Below are 22,169 nucleotides of genomic sequence, written 5' to 3'. Positions count from 1 at the left end.
TTTTGCTTTTGTGTTTGAATCAGATGGTTCTGTAGCTCTAACATTGAAAAGGCTATTTGTTTATTCGTTCATTTAAAATTATTGAAATCCCTCTACAGGCTAGGCACTGTCTTAGAGTTTGTGAATAAGACAAGATGCCTGTCTATGAGCTGCTCAGTCTAGGTGAGTCATATATGTAAATAGTTGCTGTGTATTAACAAAACAATGGCTCAGGGGGAATATCACAAAGCACAACCTATCATATAATTTATTTTTTTTTAACCCCACAGTCTCCTGGGGCAAACACTGGGCCAAGACCAAGCCTCCTTACTCAGTCAGACCATCAGTCTGGGTGGTGTATCTGTGAAATCTTACAGTTGTATGGTCAAGAATGTGTCTTTTTTTTTTTTTTTTTTGGCTTTCTTGAGTCTCACTCTGTTGCCCAGGCTGGAGTGCAGTAGTGTGATCTTGGCTCACTGGCTCATTGCAACCTCTGCCTCCTGAGTTCAAGTGATTCTCGTGCCTCAACCTCCCGAGTAGCTGGGATTACAAGCATGTACTGCCATGCCTGGCTAATTTTTTTTTTGTATTTTTAGTAGAGATGAGATTTCACCATGTTGGCCAGGCTGGTCTCGAACTCCTGACCTCAAGTGATCCACCCGCCTCAGCCTCCCAAAGTGCTGGGATTATAGTAGTGAGCCACTGCGCCCAGCTAAGAGCATGAGTCTTCAAAGATCTTATGTGAGCTGAGAACAAGAACCCATCCTATTAATGACTGGATAGCAATTGGAGCAACCTGTTTTCCCCAAACTTAGTTAAAACATGCACAACCCCTAATTTGGGTCAGTTTTGGTGAATTCATGAGATTAGATAAATCACGAATGGAAGGCTCAGAAAGAGGTCCTAGGGACAAACAACAAAAGAACATATACAGTAAGGCACACAGAAGAAAGAAGAATACAGCAAGTGAAATGAAACAAGTCTCTAGAAATAAAAAATGGGCCTTACCACGAACACTTGGGGCATCTGACAGAACCAAATCAACAAGCTCTGTTGCACTTTCTATTGGCTGTTCATTTTCTATTTTTCTCTCTAGACATCTTTCTTTAAAAAGAAAATCCAGATTTCCCGGGCTGGGCAAAGTGTTGGGATGAAATGACAGGAGGCAGGCGCTGTCAAGGAAAGACGTTCTCTCTGGAAGGAAGTGAGGGGACAGACGGGATGGCTGGCTCCTCTAGGCAGGTTTCCTTGCTGCCATCCCATGTGTCTTTTCCCTCCCACTCCTGTGGGCACTTTCTTGCTTGCTTGGCACAGTGAGAATTTAGGAAAGTCACGACAAAAATCCTGTCATGTGCTAGAAAGGAGAAAAAGTTTTAGATCTTTGCCTTTTCACGAATGAAGAGTTTCATGGAAATTAATGTGCAATTTTAGATAGAAGCTTTGCCTTGTTGAAGCTACTCTAACATTCTTTCTCCCCAAGTTCCTACAGTCCCTGCTTCCACACTTTAACAAACAAACAAAAAGAACAAACAACTGCTCCCCCTGCTACACACACACACACACACACACATACACACACAAAATCCAACTTGGTTGGCAGCCCACATCATCTACCCCAGGGCTTTCCCTAAGGACTGAAGATTTATCTTGGACTGACTTCAGACATTTCCCCTCTGATCTTCCTCTGGCTACGTTTTTCTCCAATGTTTCCTCACTGCCTCCCTTGGCTCTCATTAATTAACTGCTCCTCACTCTGTGACTAAATGCGAGCCGTTGTGTTTGGCTGTAGAGAGGATTATGACATTTTGCAAACACACACACCACTGGGGAGAATATCTTGGGTATCACACAGGCAAAGGAGGTAAACTAAGAAAACCCATTTTTAAAAACCTGTTGAAGCAAGTAACCAAAAAAGAAAAGATAGCGAAACAGGTTGATTATTTGGTGACATTTACTTATTCCTGACATGATATTTTAGAAGGCAAATACAGAAACTGGAACTTGCTATTTAACCGAGGTTCAGGTATTTCAAAGCTTGCTTATCTCTCCAGCCCGTCTGGTGTTTCCATGGTGTTCCTTTTCCGCTTCTATTAGTCTGGAACGTGGGTAGCAAGTTGATGAACATTTTTAATGAGTAAATCCTTTTCTACACCAAATTTTATAGATAATTAAATCTGATTTATAGGGCAGGTTTCAGCGACAGTAAAAGAGGAAGGCAAGGAATGCAAAGGGGGAGGGGGCCAATGATTCGACTCTGGGCCTCTGTGAGTGGGCTCTGCTTTGTATAACCTTCCCAGCAGGCGCACTGCAGGGCTTGCAAGATTTCTGAAGCAGAACAAGACCCAGTGAGGGCTTTGCAATAGTTTTTTTTTTTTTGAACTGTTTGGTTTTGGTTTTTAGGCAAGGACGTTCTCTTGTCCAAGAAACTGATCCTGATCTTTATTTTCTCCTCTCCACTGTTACTCAAAGTTATGCTAAAAGCAAAAGCCACACATATAAAACCTCAGAGCACACCACTAAGGAATTTGCCCTTTCAACAGAATTAAACATCTTCTATGTACTAAACCTCATTCTAGTTGCTGGAGGTACAGCAGTCAACAATACAGGCAGTTGGCCCGGCACGGTGGCTCACGCCTGTAATCCCAGCACTTTGGGAGGCCGAGGAGGGCGGATCACGAGGTCAGGAGATCGAGACCATCCTGGCTAACTAGTGAAACCCCGTCTCTACTAAAATTACAAAAAAATTAGCCGGGCGTGATGGCGGGTGCCTATAATCCCAGCTACTCGGGAGGCTGAAGCAGGAGAATGGCGTGAACCCGGGAGGCAGAGCTTGCAGCGAGCCGAGATCGCACGACTGCACTCCAGCCTGGGCGGCAGAGCGAGACTCCGTCTCAAAACAACAACAACAACAACAAAAACCAATACAGGCAGTTCACACTTATTACCTGTGGTGTCAAATAGACTCAGTGGAAGAAAATGTAGACAAAAGGCAGTCTAATGAGAAAATTGAAACCCAGAGAGGGTAAGTGGGTTGACCAGACTCACCCAGCGTGTCTGTCAGAAGCACATTTGAGTCTAAGAATTCAGGCCCCCTGACTGACTTCCATATTGGACTCTTGTTTTGTTTTTTCATTTTTGGAGACAGGGTCTCCAGCCTGTTGTCCAAGCTGGAGTTGCAGTGGCGCTGATACAGGAGTTGTTAAGAAGAAATTACTTAGGCAGATAGTGAGGGTACGGAAGTCCTCGGTAAGGTTTTCCTTTTAATGAAAAGCAGCCCCCAAATCATTTTCTTTTCTAACAAAGAGCAGACTGTAAAATCGAGCTGCAGACATAGACAAGCAAGCTGGAAGCTTGTGCAGGCGAATGCCGGCAGCTGTGCCAGTAGGAATAAGCTACCTGGGACTAGACATGTTCAAAATGGCAGCTCCTTCTTCTCTTCTCCTTGACAGCCACGTGTACAGTAAGGAGCAGAGAAGACTGCACTGGCCAAGTGGAAAGTCCATTTGCATAATAAGATTAGGGTGGGGTGGGCAGCCTTCCCCATGCGCTACGTAAACATCACAGCTGGTTGAACCTATCTGTGGGCCCTACGTAAATCAGACACCACCTCCTCAAGCCTGCCTATAAAATCTATGGTCCACCACAGACGGACTTTCTCCTTTTGGAAGCCTCTCTGTCGCAAGAGAGAGAGAGAGAGAGCTGCTTTCCTCTCTCCTTTCTTCTGCCTATTAAACTTTTTGCTTCTTAACCCACCCATATATTTCTAGTGTCCCTGATCTTCTTGGCACAAGAAAACAAACCCCGGGTATTTACCCCAAACAATGATGCTGCTTCAGTATCACGGCTCACTGCAATCTCAATGTCCCCAGGCTCAGGTGATCCTCCTACCTCAGCCTCCTGAGTAGGTGGGACTACAGGAGCATGCCACCATGCCCTGCTAATTCTTTAAATATTTTTCTGTAGAGACAGGGTCTCCCCGTGTTGTCCAGGCTGGTGTTGACTCCTGGGTTCAAACTATCTGTCTGCCTTGGCCTCTGAAAGTGCTGGGATTATAGGTGTCAGCCACCATGCCTGGCCCAGGTTGGACTTTTCTGAATGCAATCTATTCTTTTCCATTTGTGGAATACATTAAAAACACAAAACCTTATGATTTAAAGTGCCTAGGATAATGCCTACAATAAGGCAACAGATATTAATTGACCTTGAAACACTATGTGAAGTGGTTAAGTATTATCTTATTTCACATCATCATAGAAGTTTCTAACAGCTCCTCTACCCCTTTTTTTGTATTCATTAATAAATAAAAAATTGTGTTAGTTGGAGTTATGAGTCATGAAATATTTGGTACTGCTGAAGATTAAACATAAACCAGATTTTATCAATCAAAGTTTCCTATCCTGACTCCTCTTTGATAGAATGTGTTCATTCCTGTCAGTCATCATCATCATCATCATCATCATATTACTCTGAGTGATACATGTGTTAGACACCTTATAAAAATTAAAAACATAATTAGTTCTCTGAAATAAGACAAATGGCATCCTGCCAAACTGTGCCCTAATGCTTAACTTAAGACATTGAGAGGCCAGGTGCGGTGGCTCATGCCTGTAATCCCAGCACTTTGGGAGGCCTAGGTGGGTGGATCGCTTGAGGTCAGGATGTCTGAGACCAGCCTGGCCAACATGGTGAAACCTAATCTCTACTAAAAATACAAAAATTAGCTGGGCATGGTGGTGGGCTCCTGTAGTCCCAGCTACTTGGGAGGTAGAGGCAGGTGAATTGCTTAAACCCAGGAGGCAGAGGTTGCAGTGAACCAAGATTGCGCCACTGCACTCTAGCCTGGGCAATGGAGCAAGACTCTGTCTCAACAACAACAACAAAAAAAAGGCATTGAGAGAGGAGTGTACATGTCAATGGGCAGCTTACTTACATATTGTTTTCCCTTTAAATTTTTTAATGATTCTAATGGTAATATAAAGTTGCAACCAATTTGCATATAACAGAAAATATATAGAAAATGAAAGTCCCATCCCCAGGGAGAACTACTAAGAAGAGTATGATGCATGAGCTTCTAGCTTTCTTCTCTATGTATACTGATACAGGAACATAGACATAGAACTGTGCTGCAATATGGTTGTCACTTATTGATAGATTTGGATTGTCTTTTTATGTCCATACATGTAAATTCACCTTTAATTTTTTTAACTGTATAGTATTTTGCTATAAGTCTGAATAATAGTTTAACTAACCTATATTTAATTAATATTTGAGTTGTTAAGAGTCACTTTTTTTTTTTTTCAAGACAGAGTCTTGTTCTGTCACCAAGCTGGAGTGCAGTGGCACAATCTTGGCTCACTGCAACCTCTGTCTCCTGGGTTCAAGTGCTTCTCGTGCCTCAGCCCCCCAAGTAGCTGGGATTACAGGCATGCGCCACCACGCCCAGCTAATTTTTGTATTTTTCAGAGAGACGAGGTTTCCCCATGTTGGCCAAGATAGTCTTGATCTCTTGGCCTCGTGATCCACCCACCTGGGCCTCTCAAAGTGCTGGGATTACAGGCGTGAGCCACAGTGCCTGGCCAAGAGTAACTCTTTATTAAAATCAATGTTACAGAGTTCATTCTTGTACATATGTATTTATGAACTGTACCCCTAAACCCAGAATTCCCTATTTCACTCTTAGGTTAAACATCAAAGCGTTTGGGATGATATATATACACACATATGTGAAATATAGTATATATATTATATACATATAAATATGGGATCGTACATAAACACACACATACACATACATATATATTTCTTCCCATAGGTAAAAGCACTATCCTACTTGATATTGAAGGCAGTTAGCATTACACTACTTACTGATCGGAAGAAACCCCCACATTACCTACCGATCTTCCTCACAAACATAAAATAAATAAAACCACTTTTAAAAAATCACTTGGCTAGGTTATGTTATTTAAAGCTGGGCAAGTGGGGGTGGTAGCCATTAGCAAAACCGGTTTAAAATATAGTGCAAATTAAAAAAAAATTCTTCATGAATCAAGCCGTTATTACTGTGAGTCAATTAAACCAATCTCCCTCAGGGGAAAAAAACCTAAGAACCCAAATTCCTTTCTTAGAAAGATGTTATTAAAATGTCTCTGTGGTTTATTGATTTCTTTACTTCTGCTTCTTTAAGAATATGGGATTTGCTAACAGAACTGATACCAATACTAAATGCTAGGAAATGCTTGTCAAAATAATATTTAGAAACAATAATGTAGTGTGTCACTATGAAGGGGTTGGTTAGAAACTTTTCTTTCAGAAGGCCTCTCATTCTAACCAGGCATACTCCTTCCTTCCACCTGCCAACCTCAGGTTGGCCGCTATTCAGAATTAGTTTTCAGTTTCTTAAGGAAGAAAGCCTGAGATTAAAACTTAATGGACTGTTCCATAGATTTTTTTTACTGCTGGTATCTTGTAGTGTTGTGCTATCTTTTGCTTGGATTTGCTTACTCTTTGCTTTGACCCTTTGGCCTGGAAAAATGGGACTTTGACGTTTTTTCCGTGTTCTTTGTTGGAATGCAATCCTGAACTTCAGTATAGTCTTGCTCCCACTCTGTACTCTCTCCTACTTCCACTTTGTTGAACATGGACTTAAAAGTATAAAAAGATCTGCAGGAAACCTTGGTGATAGTTAATATAAAATTCTTATTTAAGAGATGAGGAAATGAAAGAGTGAGGTTAAGTGACCCATCTAGAATCTTACCACAAGTAAGAGTGAGAACTGGAATTAACAGCTCCTGAATCTCAATCTGGTGTCATTTCAGTACACCTGTCAGTTACACTCTTCTCCCGGCTGGGTTGGTCACTGTACCTGCTCCAACCTGTGTTCCCCACCTTGGCCCCCACGTGTGGCCTTCATACCATTGCTGCCTGCATTCACTGACTAAAACTTGGTGATTATTCCTCCTAATGGATGAAGTGAAGACAGGTGCTAGTTTTCTACGACATCTTATGTAAATGTCAGCATTAATCTTGTGAGTTAAAAACTTCTGACATTCGGCTTGATGACCTCTTGTCTCTTTGGGGCTCTAAGGCTCTTGTGGCTAGATAAGCCACAGGTTGATTATTATCCTTTAAAATAACTGTGTGAATGCTCTGCATCCGTAATTCAGCTAATCAGGAAGCAGACTGCATATTTTTATAGGAGTTGGTCTACAATATACATTTCTAATGACAGGATTACATGTTTTGTCTCTGTGTTCAGTGTGTGGACACTCAATACTATTGGGGTGTTGATGGCATGGATTTTATAGTCAGATGTATCATGGTTTGAAAACTGGTTCTTATCACCTGCTGGCTGCATGACCCTGGATTACATCAGTAAAACTCAGTTTACTCATGAGTAAAATGGGGATAATGATGCTGGCTATGAAAGAGTGGTATGGGAATTAAATGACATAACACACAATTCAGTGCTCAGTGTGGGGCCTGACACATTGTAAGTTCTCAGTAAATGCTACTTTGCTTTCTGTCCCTCTTTTTCCTGTCCACTTTACCACCCAAAAAACTCCCTCCAAGAGGAGAAGTGGGAGAGAATTGTAAAAGACTAAATACATCAATTTTAGTTTTTCTTCTTTTTTTAAATCAAGGATTTCTTGCTGGAAGTGCTGCATTATAAATGGACTTCTCAAAAGCCACTTGTATCTGTAGTCTGATCATTTATTCCTTGATGAGAAATATTTTGGTCTATTAGTGAGAAAGAAGAAAGATGAACCGAACATTAATCAAACACTTCATGATGAGTAGAAACGTGCATATATCACAGAAACTGCCAGAGAGGAGCCACTGCCACAGACTGGGAAATGCGTGTTTGGTGTAATGACTTTGGTCTCACACTGCTGAAGTAGAGCCTGACTACTCTGTTAACTGGGCAACCTTAAAATGTTCTTAAAAATCCATATGTGCTATTATTTTTAAGAGAAGTTTATCTGATTTTGTTTTACTTACATTTTCCCCCCTTCTCCTAGGCAATTAATTTCTTGCTGGTACTATGCCTGGAAACAGTAGGAGAAAATGAGTTGCTAGAAGTGTATTTCTAAATTAGCAATCATCTCAGTGACGTGTGCACTTAGTCAATGTGTTTATTTCTTGGTTATTGCCTGTTTTTTAAAAGTACCTAGACCAAGGCTATGCATATCCTGGTAATTCCCTGGAAGCTGAATTAGAGCATGATAAAGTTGGCCAGAGTTTGCCATTTTGGGGTTCTCACCATTGTTTCTGGGATGAGGCAAGAGCAGGTCTTACCAAAATAGGATGAGTCTGTCTCCACCTGGAAATCCTCTGGCTAACATAAGTATCTGGTGAAAAACTTGGTTAAAAATTCAAGTTCAATTCAGGGTGTCACTGCAAAAAAAAAAAATATCCTCTTTGAAAGCTTTGAAGGGAAAGCCCCATTTAAAGCTCAGTAGTCACAAAAATAAAGGAGCCTTCACAGGGAGTAAATTCCCTGTCAGGGGTGGAGAACTGTTATTTAGCTATTTGCTAGCATGCCATTATATCAGCACATAATGCGACAGAGTTATCCAGGAAACAGTGATCAGTGGTGCAGGGCTGAAGATTGTGTGTGTGTGAGCGTGTGCATGCACATGTGCGTGTGTGTTTGCGTTTAATAAGGTCCACTAAGCTATCAACCATCCATCGTCAGAATTCTCTTCCCTATTTTTGCTTTTTCCCTGAGGCTCACTGCTATATGGAGTGTGTATAGCGTAGCTTTAGAGATGCAATACTGTATCAGGAAATGGGGAAGTATAAGTTGTGAGTCTCTAAGGAGAGTTGTATTGGGTTTATAACCCATTTGGAAATGTAACCACAATTTCATTTCATCCCAGAGACCCCCATGGAGCAGTAACAGGGGAGAGTAGGATGATTCACCTAATTTCTTTGATGTAAATTTAAAATTTCTCCTGACAGATTCTGCTGGAGAACTGGGGCTTGAATGCATCATCCTGAAGAATTTTTGCAGTTGCCCAGAAATGTGGGGCTAGAGAGAGCAGATGCTTGGAAATGCCGTTGACATTTCCAAGTTTTTATAGCCCTGGTACATAGCCCACTAACTCCAGCATGCTTCACACATGGAGAAGGATCATTTGTCATTTTGATGCCAAAATGATACTCACAACTCTAAATGAAATTGATTACTTCTTTCTACCTCCTGCTTGGACAGTCAAAGTCAAAGCATTTCAGGCATTTATTGGTCACCCTGTGTATGCATGAATGGCAGAGTGGTATCAGTATTTGCTCTGTAGCTGTGAAAATGAGGGCCTCCAAAACTACTCATGACAGCAAAAAGGACAAATTTCTGCCACGCTCTATTAGGACACGATTTATTTGGCAAAAGCGGTTTCATTGAGAAGCATACATGCAATAGTCATTAAAAATGTATTTAAATTCTGAAACAACTCACATTCAAATAGATGGTACACACCTATACACACCATTCTTTGTATTTAAACAAAAGTGTTTTTCTGGGTAACTCAGAAACTTGCCAGCATTGAAAATCTGGACAACTTCCCAGACAGTAGATATTTTGTGTTTTGAGTTGTAGACATTATAGTCAGGAAATCTCTAGAGCAGGTATCCCTGCTTTCAGGGAATTATTCCTTTACAGTATCACCCAACTCTTGAATATTACCAGATAATATACTGAGGTGAGCATTAATCATATTTTGGCTACTGGATGAAGAAGAGTGGTCAAGCACATGGTTGGAAGCAAGTTCCTACTTCTCTGGATACCTAAAGATAATGGCAAGATCAATTAATGTACAAGTATTTATTGTGTGCCCACACTGACCAAAAGGCATTCTGGAAGTCATGTTGCTCTCTCTGCCCTGCATGTCTAAAATATTCCATATTCTTAATTTGCCTTTTCTGTCAAATGCATGTGAGATGATCCTCTCAGGGCAAATTTTAGCCACCAGGATGCTCTAACATTTTTAGTTTTAGTTTGCTTCTTTCTAGGGCTTATAAAGAAGTCTTTATGCCTTGGACTTAAGGGTTCGTGAAGCAGGTGCACCTGGGACACAGCCTATGGGCAGGCAGGTCTCCATTGCGAGGCTGGAATCTGTGTCAGACAAACTCTTACAAAGGATAAGGAGACAACCCAGTAGTCCCAGAAGTTGCCCAAGCTGCTGATCCTATACCCTTCATCACTTTTTTTTTTTTTTTTTTTGAGACAGAGTTTTGCTCTTGTGGCCCAGGGTGGAGTGTAATGGCATGATCTCAGCTTACCGTAACCTCCACCTCCTGGGATCAAATGATTCTCCTGCCTCAGCTTCCTGAATGGCTGGGACTACAAGCATGTACCACCATGCCTGGCTAATTTTTTGTATTTTTAGTAGAGACAGGGTTTCACCATGTTGGCCAGGCTGGTCTTGAACTCCTCACCTCAAGTGATCCTCCCGCCTCGGCCTCCTAAAGTGCTGGGATTACAGGTATAAGCCATCGCACCCTGCACCTTTCATCACATTTTGACCACCTGTGGTTCACCTGGTAACCATCTGATGGGCTTTTTTGCCTTGAATTATAGAGCTGGGCTGCTTGGCTCTCATCTGGAAGTTTTTGCTTTTCTTGTTTTTTTTTTTTTTTTTTTTTGAGACACAGTCTCACTCTGTCATCCAGGCTAGAGTGCAGTGATCATGGTTCACTGCAGCCTTGAGTTCTTGGGCTCAAGTGATCTTTCCCACCTCAGCCTCTTGAGTAGCTGGGACTACAGATGTGTGCCACCTTGCCTGGCTAATTTTTGTATATATATAGATTTTTAATAGAGATGAGGTTTGGTCATGTTGCTCAGGCTGGTCTCGAACTCCTGAGCTCAAACGATTCTCCCAAAGTGCTGGGATTAGAGGCTGAGCCACTGCACCCAGCCTGGAAATTTAATTTTATTCTAAATCTACTGGTGGGTAGAATTAGAGTGGAAGGCAATGAGTCAGTGGCTCAGGCTCTGGTTAGTCTTTCTACCTTAGCTATCTTTCTGACTTTCTACCATAGCTACCACCTTTCACTTTCTACCCTAGAGTTGTGAACAAAACTCTATCTTGAATCCCAATTCCAATAATTAGAAAAAAATCCATGGTTCTGCTGCCTAGAATCCTGTATCCTCCACTACCGTGATCCTGTTTTGCCACCTGAGTTATTTTATAGACCTGAACTTTAGTGCCGTGGTTGGCTTCCTTTACCTGTTGTCAGATTTCTCTGATATTGACTCTGTCTGCTGCCAACCTGGCTCCTGATGCTGTATTTGTCTTCTCTGCCAGCACACCTGTTGCTCACTGCTGACTCTCCCCTGATGCAGATTTGCCATCTGCCTGGACTTTCTCCTATCTATTTCCTGCTGCTGGGAATGTGTCCTGTCCTCTGTGTCTGTAGCTATGATTAGACCATACTTTGTTAACAACAAATAAGCAAACTTTCGAAAACCAGGATATGTTTATTTGCCTTATCCATCAAACCTTGGCTAAAAAATGTATTGTTTATGATGCATTGTAACACTAGAATATTTGTATGAAAGTTCAATTTTATGAGATAATTGCTCCATAGACTTGCTCAGGAACAAATGAACAAATGGAGTAGCATCCATATGTAAATGGTGAGTATGGATTAAAAGTTCTGGAAAAGTGAAGTCAATGTTATCAAATAGAAATGATTCTAACATTTCTAAGAATGTTTGCTGATGGACTTTACCAGAGCCAGATGATGGCTGCCTTTAAACATGCCCAGAGATATTTCAGGGATATTTATTAAGTGACAGGAAGCCCTGAAAGAGAGATGTGATCTCTCCTGCTGGGGCGAGTAGAGACAATGGAATGCGCTACCTGGACAGTTGTCAGGAGGTTGCTGAAGCAGTTAGAAAGGAAAGAAAATTTTTCAGTAAACCTGTGTGTTTACAGAAGGAAGGGAAAAGGAGTCTTAAAGGAGCCAGGAGGAGTTGAGCCTGGGTTAAGGGCCTGAGAAAACAGCAATTTGAAAAGGATTAGGAGAACGGATAGGAGAGACAAAATAGAAAAGAAACCAGATTAGGTGGTGAGAGTGAAGACAACAGGGTGGGGTGTGGGAAAGAGAGAGAGACCTTTCAGGAAAAGTGGATTATATTGGAATTCAGTTTAAGGAGACTGAATAACAGGTGGGGCTTCAGAGTTAAGAAAAATATTTGGCTGAGCCAAGGAGGTTTCCAGTTGCATACATGAAGCAAACCACTAACATATGATCTCCTAAAGTCAAAAAGGTTTGGAGCCAGACAGGAACAGCTATCTTTCTCCATTGACCTAAGTATCTGGAGAAGAGGTCTTGACTCATGCCTGGCAGTGATACCAGGGAAGACTTAGAAGAAAGCCAGGACCAGGTCTTAGGAGGGGCAGATGGATGAGATAGAGAGAAGCAATATATGAACACATAGCTCGTGCCTGAGTAAGTGAGAAATGGAAGTGCACGCTTGTTACTGGCTCTTAGTATCTACCGCTTTGTGCCTCAAGGGTTCCTTGAGTGGTAGGACACCTGCATCAACTGGCAGCAGAGCAGAGGAATTAAGAATGTGACCTCTGGCCCAAAGGATTCAGTTTAAATCCCAGGCTTTACCATTTATAAGCTATGTAACCTTGGACAAGTTATTTAATCTCTACATAGCTAAACTTTTCACCTATGAAATAGCATTAATAATAGAATCTACTTCACTGAATTGCTGTGAGAATTAAATGAGATAATGTTCTGAAGAGTATTAAAGGTGTCTATTAACACAAGAAAGGAAAGGAGAGTGTGGTCCCCCTCCTTTACTTTCTGGAAGTGTCAACAGACAACTGTCAGGACATCAACAACAACTCATGGGAAATGTAACAGGGATAAGCCCTTTATTTGCATTCTTGGCAAAGAAGGAGCCTTATATTTGTCCTTACCTTAGGAGTAGTGTGTGTCTATGGCAGCCAGTTTCCTGGCAGCATTCAAGGGAATTGCTCCTCTGCCCCAGTTCAGCGAAGACTTTGAGCCTGGATTATCTTGATTTTTTGAGCACCCAAATAGAATAAGTCAGTTCTCCACATATTCACCATTTGTTCAACTTGCTGAATACAACAAATTATGAGAAAGTTTAAAGTAGACATCACGTTTAATGCTACATTCAGCAAACACATTCCACCTGACAGTAAACTAAAATGTTCATGTGTTGAATTCTGCAAAGGTAATTTCATGTCAATGATAAGTAAAATAATAGATGGTGCTGAAAGAATTGTGAGGCTGTAATACACTTGAGGTGCTAAGGCAATTGACTAATGGGAGCTAGGCCATTTGAGATATTCAGACTTGGAGACATTTTAGAGTTATGGATGTATTTATAAGATTGCCATATATCACTTAACTTGTTCCCTTCACAATTCTAAAATCTTTTACAGAGGATGAGGCCAGAGAATTGTTGAGCTCCAACAATTCAGCATTTTGGACAGCTGTTATACTGGTCCAAAATGGCTAGGTCAGCTTCTGTCAGGTAAGAAAATTACTTGCTAGGTGTGGATTAGGCATTTTGGGAAGGGATGTTAAATTTTTAAAGTCTTCAATATGTCATCTCTCCCCTCCCTTTTTTTGGTCGATATAGCCAAAAGCATTTATGCTTCCTTCAAAGAGTCTGTTTGTAATTGTCTTAAGAACCTCTTTTGGGATTATGTACTCAATTAGAAATATTTCCTTAGAGCCAAAATAATGTTTAAAGTGAGTGGTTTAAGATGGAACCCATGGTGAATATCTCAGTCTCTCTTGACCAATTCCTATAGTTAGAATGTTCTTGTGGTATAAATGCTTTCAGCTTCTTGTGGCAAAGTCTAGTTCCTTATGAGAGGCTTCTAATGCCCCTTTCAGAGTTGGTGGAAGATTTCTCTCCAAAGGATATATGCAGCACATTCAGCATGTAGCTTCTGTGGATGCCATCTGTGTAATCATTATAATCTTGAGAAGTGCGTGGTGGCCGCCACACAGTGGCAAAAAGCCTCACTGTCGGTATCTTTACTGACTGACAGAGCAGAGCCAGTATTGACTCCCATCTGGCAATCTTAGCCATTTTCTAATTCTGTGCAAAAGGCTGCAGTATCCTCAAATACCTTCCCACGAGCCCTCTGAACACAGCCCAGTTCCCAGGCTTGTTTGTCATGATTATAAAGTAAACTCTAATGCCAGGTGATGTGATTTGCCATGCCCTTCTGTGAGATTTATGTTGAAGTTTTCTGAATATCCTGTTAAGATGGTGCCACTTTTCATATCCTAACAAGGTGATGTGTGTGAATGTAAGTGTAGATTTCATGGGCATCAATTCTGTTAATAGCAAAATTCTTAGATTGTTGTCAAGAAATTTCAGACTTTTGCAATATAAACAGTATATATTTGCTTTTCTGTACTCTGAGGCTCTACAGCAACTTGACCACTGTATTAAACTTTCTTCTCTAGCTGCCCTCACAGTTCCACTTGAGAAGCCTGTTGAAATAATGTTGAAATGACCAAAAAATAAAATGCAATAAAAATTTTTTAAAAAGGACAATCTACATCAATACTGGAGACTAAAGAGTATTTGCCCTTTTCCTGTCAGGTACTCTGAGTGAACTAGTGATAACATAGATGGGATAAAACTAAAACGAGTCATTGTGGGTTGATATACAGCTCTCCTCTATAACAAAGCAGGAAAATGTTCCAGACAAGAGTGAAGTACCTAGTAGAACCTAACTAACACCTACTAAATGTAGTTAGTGGACCATGAAACAGATGGAAGCATTTTCCTCAGAATCTCTTTTTCTTTAAAAAGGCTTATACATTTAGATGTGGCTGCATTGGGAGGTCATGAGGTTTATGCAAGTGGGCACAGCACAGATGATACAGTACAGCACACTCTATAGTATCAAGGTTTCTAGCTGAATAACAGTGACTATTTCCCCTGACGTGGAAGGCAACACCAGCAAGAAGGCCTGGACATCTACACAAGGTAAATAGCATGGAGAATGGAACAAACTGAAAGCTGGATACAACAAAGCATGGCAGTTCTGCTACACATCTGCTTGGAGACTGTGGCATGGACTTCCCAGGGCTCAGACAAACACTTTCTCACAATTCCTCTGGCTGTTGGATCTTAATATGTAGTGCTTCCATCTGCACTCTAGCACAAGGTTTGGACAAAGTTTTCTGACCAAGAAGATAAAATGGAGATTGGGAGAGCAATCCACACTTCTGCTCTTAGGCAAATAAGAGGTTAGGAGAGTCAAATTGTCACTCAAAGATAAATAGTAAAGGGTAACAAAAAAGTTTTTCTTTCATAGAAGAATAAGTAAAAGATAGTACTTAAGAGCAGAGGAACTTTTTTAAAGACAATTTTTTTTTAAATGAAGCAGAAGTAAATGTATAAAATCTACTTCATGCATCCCATAAAATTCTAGAAACCATGAACTATAAGGAAAGAGGAAATGAAAGATAAGATGACAGACAAGAGATAGAGAGAATAGAAACTGTCTTATGTGCATAAATAACAAGACAAGAAAATAATATAATAGTACTGTAATAGACAAATGGAAATGTGTACTAGAAGCAGGCAGAGCCAACACTGGAGAAAATCAAGTCAGATGTGGCAGTTAATTAAAGTGATTTTACAAAACTTAGAAAAAAGGAAAAAAATAGTGGATTTAGAAAGTAAAGAAATCCAACATACAGATATTTTATTTTTTATTTTTTGAAACAGAGTCTCTTACAGTCTTCCAGGCTGGGGTACGGTGGTGCAATCACGGCTCAGTGCAGCTTCCACCTCCCTGGCCCAAGCAATCTTTCCACCTCAACCTCCCAAGTAGCTGAGACCACAGGCACAGGCATGCACCACCAGGTCCAGCTAATATTTTTAGTTTTGCAGAGACAGGGTCTTGCTATGTTGCTCAGCCTGGCCTTGAACTTCTGGGCTCAAGTGATCCTCACACCTCAGCCTCCCACAGTGCTGGGATTACAGGTGTAAGCCACCATGCCCTGACAATATTTCATATTCTTGAAGAAGAAGGAAACAAAAGAAAAAGAAGCAATGATTAGGGCTAAAAAGGAGGTGAGTTTTTGAAACTAAAGAAGGAAATCAGTGGAATTAGAGACCTTAACATGTGTTTAGCGAAATTAATTAGAAGAGAAAAGCAACAAGGCATATTATTGGGAAACTTAGGAATTTCAAAACTCAAAATGATTTCCAGAGTTATCCTTTTAGATACTTAGAAATCCATAAAAGTCAAGTAGGTCTCTGAATTTTCTTTGATAACTCTAAATACCAGAATAATGATGATATTGATGATGATGAATGATAATAAGAAATTAAACACTTCCTGGACATATTTAATGCATCAGGTACTGTTCAATATGCTTTTTACAAATAGGTAATTAAAACCTCACAAGTTTATGACTTAAGTACATATAGTCTCATTTTATAAAATAATGTTTTAAATAAATCTAAAGAAAAAAAACCTGAAATTAAAAAATACCAGAAAACAAAGAGCAAAGGAATCATAAAAGGTATAAAATGTGACTGTGAGATAATTCAGACCAGCCATGTTAATTATGTCAGTAAATATAATTTTAGTAACCCTGTTTATAAAAACATACAAAATTTTAAAAGTGTAGAACCAAAAAGTAAAACCAAATCTATGCTATCTGTAAGAGTGATCTCCCCTGCACCCTAAGTAACTCAGAAAATTAAAAACAGAATTGGCAAAAATATTTAAAGTAAATGAAAACAAACAGAAACAAGGATAGAAATGCTATTATTAAAGGAGTTTTTAATGCAAAAGAGCCTTAAATGGAATAAAGAGAGTAATTTCATATTGAAAAATCATCATTATATGTCATCATTATAGTCAACAGAAATATCTCACTATACTTGAAAAATTAACAGGCAAAAAACAAATAAGGATGTAAAGGATTTAAATGGCTTGAAAACAGATGATTTAGCAAATATAACTAATGTTCTGTTTTCTTAAGCATAGGTAATATCTTCTATTCAGATGGGCAATGAATATTTTTAAACATTTCAAAGTATATTAGACCAAAAACTCCTTAAACATATGCAAAGTAGCAAAAAGTGCACAGGGCTCATTGTCTGACCACAGTGCAAGGAGTGAATTATAAATGTATTAAGCTACTCCCTTGCTCCAGCACTTTGGGAATTAACGAACCACCACAATTTTTCTAAATAATTGTGGGGTTAAAGCAAGAAACAAAGCTGCATTTTCAATGATTAGAAAATAGATATTGTGTGAGTAGCATATATCAAAATATATGGGATCTATCTAGTTAGAGCTGCAATCACAGGCATCTTACTTATTTAAATTCACTCATTATTAAATAAGAATGAATGAAAATATTGGATCTAAACCTTTAACTCATGAAGGTGAAAAACAATCAAACAAACATAAGGAAATTAGAAAGAAAGTAATAAAATAAAAGCAGAAACTGTTAAACACCAAAAATTGTAGATTTGAAAAATAAACACAAGCGCTAGTAGTTGAAAAGCAGACAATGATTTATAAAGAAAACTCTCTGCAGCTTTTCAAATCAAGAAAACAGGAAAACAAGTACATAATTCTAGAAGAAGAGAAGGAAAAGATGAGCCATCAAAGACACTGGAAGATTTCACAAAACAAAATCCAGGCTATTATGTGCAATCTCGACTTTAAAATCTGGATTAAGTGCATAATTATTTAGTAAAATAAAGTAACAAATTGATTAAATAAATGGAAAGTCTCAATAGACTACAATTTTGAAAGTTGTCAAATAAATACTTGCAAAAATATGCCAAGCGCAAATGGTTTTATGAACAAAGTTTTTCACAATTTCAAGATGTAGCTTTTTAATTCATTTTTGATATTTATTTCATCCCAATAAAATATTAAGATTAGTATCAAAATTTTAGAAAATTCTAATTAAAATACATATTGTGAATTGAAATTATTTGTATAATAAAGTATGTTAGCCCATGATTAAGTTAGATTTATTCCAGAAATGGAAGCTGTGCTCAATAATAGGAAATTTATTAGAATAGCAGTTAGATTAATAAATGAGAGGAAAAAGACTGTACCTCGATACATAAATGACAAAAATACATTTGAGAGCATTGAAATTGCATTTATTATGCTATTTTTTGGTAAATTAATAATGGAAGATTATTTATTTAATATGGTAGAGAATGTCTATCATACTTAATGGAAAAATTTCTGAAGCATCCCTGGTAAATAAGAAACAAGACAAGGATGTCTACTGCCATTGCTATTATTCACTATTTTTCAGGAAGCTCTAGCCAATGCAACATGTCAAGAAAAAAAATTCAAATGAATAAGTATTATAAAAGAAGAGATTTTCATACGATATGAATTCTCTATGTGGGAAATCCAATGAAATCAACTGAAAAACTATCAAAAACAGAATTCAATAACAAGGTCAGATACAAAACAAATATTGGAAAAAGTAAAAATGTTTATATACATTATTGATCCTTAGAATGCAATATAAATGAAGCCTTAGTTACTTTAGAAATGTAAAATCTAGGCTGAGCATGGTGGCTCATGTCTGTAATCCAGCACTCAGGGAGTCCGAGGTGGGAGGATGGTTTGAGCTCAAGAGTTTGAGACCAGCTTGGGCAGCACAGTGAGACCTCATCTTTACAAAAAAATACAAAATTTAGCCAGCCTTGGTGGCATGCGCCTGTAGTCCCAGCTCCTTGGCAGGCTGAGGTGGGAGAATTGCTTGAGCCTGGGAGCCTCAGGTTGCAGTGAGCTGAGTTCACACCACTACACTCCAGCCTGGGCGACAAAGTGACAGATCCTGTCTTGAAAAAAAAAGAAAAGAAAAGAAAAGAAAGAAACGTAAAATGTATATAATTTCTTGAATAAACTTAATAGTAGAAATTCATTAAACTTATTTTAAAATTCATATGGAAAAGTAAATAGAATGAAAGTCTACTTGAAAAAGAAGCACAAAGATTTTAAAATTCATATGGAAAAGTAAATAGAAGGAAAGTCTACTTGAAAAAGAAGCACAAACAGATGAGACTTTTTAAAAATCAATTATTATTAGGTAATCAAGCTACGGTTATAGAATCTGTTGCAAAGGAAAGTAGACCAATGGAAGTCTGGAGAGTTCAGAAGCAGGGTCATATATATATGGAACATTAATATACAATAGTAGGAGCCCAAGGTATTAGTGGAAAAGGGATAGATTGCAGATAGTGTTGGGAAAAAATGTCTTAATATATAAGGAAACATAGAACATGAGGTATGAAGAGGGACTCCAGATGGATTAATTATATAAATGTGAAAATCATAAAGCTAATAGAAAAGAATAGGGTAGACTATCTCAGTACTGTAACTGTGGAAAAGTCCAATACTTCAGAATCATGAGGTGGAAAATTGCTATATTTGATTACATCACATTAAAGATTTGTATTCAGTGTTGAACACCATTGAGACTAATATCTAGAATATACATGAGCCTCATATGAATAAAGAAGTGGATATGAACCCCGATAGGAAAACGATCCAGGGATATATGTAATGGCAATTCATAGAAGAGCAAACCCAAAGGACCAATAAACTTATGAAGAGATATTCAAAATCACTAGTAATTAGATGAATGCAAATTAAAATAACAATAACATATCCCTGAAGACCTGTCACATAGATAAAACAGTAGCTGATACTGCTAAGTGTTGGTGGGAGGAAAAAAATATAGGTATACTCAAACACTGCAGTTTGATACACACTGACTAAATTATTCTGTAATCCACTGCTGGTTGAATTACAGAATAATTTAGCTATATGTATCAAACTGGCAATACCTAACCAAATTAAATAAAGGTATCTCTTATGACCAGTGGATTCTACTCTATACAGAAAAATAAATGGAAACATCCTCATTTGTTTCCACTTGAAGCATTGTTTGTGATGTTGAGAAGCTGGAAGTAATCTAGTTATCCTTCACTGGAGGAAAGGATACATAAATGTTGTGACTGCATCCATAGAAATCCATACAGGTTAGAATCAATGAATGATGTGGAGATGTGTACTCACAATAATACGGACAAATTTTAAAAACCTTTCATGGAGTGAAACAAAAGCAAGAAAGAATGAAGTTTACATCTCACAATAGAATTTGTGTAAATTAACAATACATGCCTATAAATAAATACACATTTCCTAGAGACACATATAAACACTTGAAAAAGATACAGAAACAAATGACAATTATTGCCTTTGGGGAAAAGAAGGAAAGTGGATATGAAGGGAATAAATTAAAAAATAAAGAAGAGAGAAAACCTGCAAGGTAATGTTAAAGAAAGAAGAAAAGAAGAAAAAAAGGAGGGAAGGCGGGAAGGGAAAAAGGTCTCTCATAGTGATGTTCTTCCAGGATTTTCCTAGTCCACCTGGATTCACACAAGCTAACAGTAATCCAATCAGGGCTCTTTAGCATCAATTACCTCCCTTCCCATGAAAATGTTATCTCAGATGGTGAAAAGGAAAACTGTTTTAGTTTACCAAAAAGGCAGCCCTCTCCTGTGTGTTATAAACTTCTGTTTTTAGGAAGTTTGGCCATAGGAATTTAGAAATTTGCCATGCTATCCAGGCCCTGAACCCTCTACCCATAGGTAACTTGGTTTCTTTGACTTTAGAATCCATCTTAGTTGGTAAAGGGGCATGTGATTTGGTCTCTGAGATCACACAACCCTGCCTCCTTCAAAGATCACTGTGGACTGAATAAACCCTTTATTGTCAGGATGGCTTCTCTACACAGCCCTTTTTGTACCTTCAGGCCTTGAGATGATAGTGGTGTCTGGTGTTAACCGACCCAAGATGATGCACTATTCATTGTTGCAAAAGAACAATCATGAAAATTTTGGAAAAGATGACCAAGAAGTGACTTACACCATCAGATACATTTTAGTGCATCCTAAAATCATAGTAATTAAAACCAAGTGATGGCACAAATATAGACAAAGTATGAGAAAGCCCTGTATGTTTGTGCTTTTATTTGTGCATGTATGAATATAAATAAGGGTAACATTTTAAATCAGTGGTTTGAGAATATTTGTTTAATTTTTTGAAACCATAAAATTACATTCCCATGTCATGGCACACACTGAGATAAATTCTAGGTGGATGAAATAATAAAATCTAAAATAAATACATAAATAAATAAATGAAGAAAGGAAGAAACTCAGCAAAAATTAGTTTGAAATCTGGTTGGCAAATTTATGCTTAAGCATAAGACAACTATAGAGACCATAAAGGCAAAGAGTGCGCTATTTGATTATATAAAAAGAATAGGCCGGGTGTAGTGGCTCATGCCTATAATCCCAGCACTTTGGGAGGCTGAGGCGGGTGGATCACCTGAGGTTGGGAGTTCGAGACCAGCCTGGCGGCATGGTGAAACCCCGTCTCTACTAAAAATACAAAAATTAGCTGGGCATGGTGGCAGGTGCCTGTAATCCCAGCTACTCTGGAAGCTGAGGCAGGAGAATCGCTTGAACCCCGGAAGCAGAGGTTGCAGTGAGCCCAGATCACACCACTGCACTCCAGCCTGGGCAACAGAGCGAGACTCTGTCTCAAAAAAAAAAAAAAAAAAGTATAAACACAAACTGTCCATATGTTAAATGATATAAATAAATTTAAAACGCAAATGTCAAATAAAAAAATTTGTAATGTATGACTGGTAAAAAATTAATTATAAAGATTCTCAGCTTCTTTAAAAATATCTTAAAACATGAACAACTCAATAGAAATGTAGAAATTCACTAAAAAATTGCAAATAACCAATCAATTTATGAAAATGCATTTAACCATGCTAATGCTAAAATGAATGTAAATTAAGATAATATGATACCACTGTCACTTGTTAATTTGATGAAAATATAAAACCTAGTGCTGGCAGGGTTTTGAAAAATGAAGTTAAATTATTAAAACTATTTTGGAGGTAATGCAGATGTGTATACATACACATACATATATTTGAACTTTAATTCTATATACAGAATTTTAATCTTTGAATAAATAGTCATAAACATAGGCAAAATATATGTAACAAGAAGTTTATGACTACATTACATGTGATACTGGAAGATTGGAAGTAATCTAAATATCTTAAATTCATAATTAGTTAAATAAAGT

At 38.5% G+C, this 22,169-nt stretch overlaps 1 long non-coding RNA gene across 2 annotated transcripts in view; it reads right to left on the bottom strand.

Moving 5' to 3' along the window:
- The window catches only part of LOC105378866 (uncharacterized), a 41,877-nt gene that overhangs the window by 1,935 nt on the left and 17,773 nt on the right, over positions 1–22,169 (bottom strand). For both annotated transcript variants that reach the window (XR_947617.2, XR_947618.2), the window contains exon 2: positions 988–1,333. This is a non-coding gene — a long non-coding RNA (uncharacterized LOC105378866). The remainder of the gene's footprint in view (positions 1–987; positions 1,334–22,169) is intronic.

Source organism: Homo sapiens, chromosome 1, assembly GCF_000001405.40.
Source record: "Homo sapiens chromosome 1, GRCh38.p14 Primary Assembly".
NCBI classification, from domain to species: Eukaryota; Metazoa; Chordata; class Mammalia; order Primates; family Hominidae; genus Homo; species Homo sapiens.
Note: the sequence above shows the minus strand (reverse complement) of the source record. Positions and strands in the feature narration are given on the sequence as shown.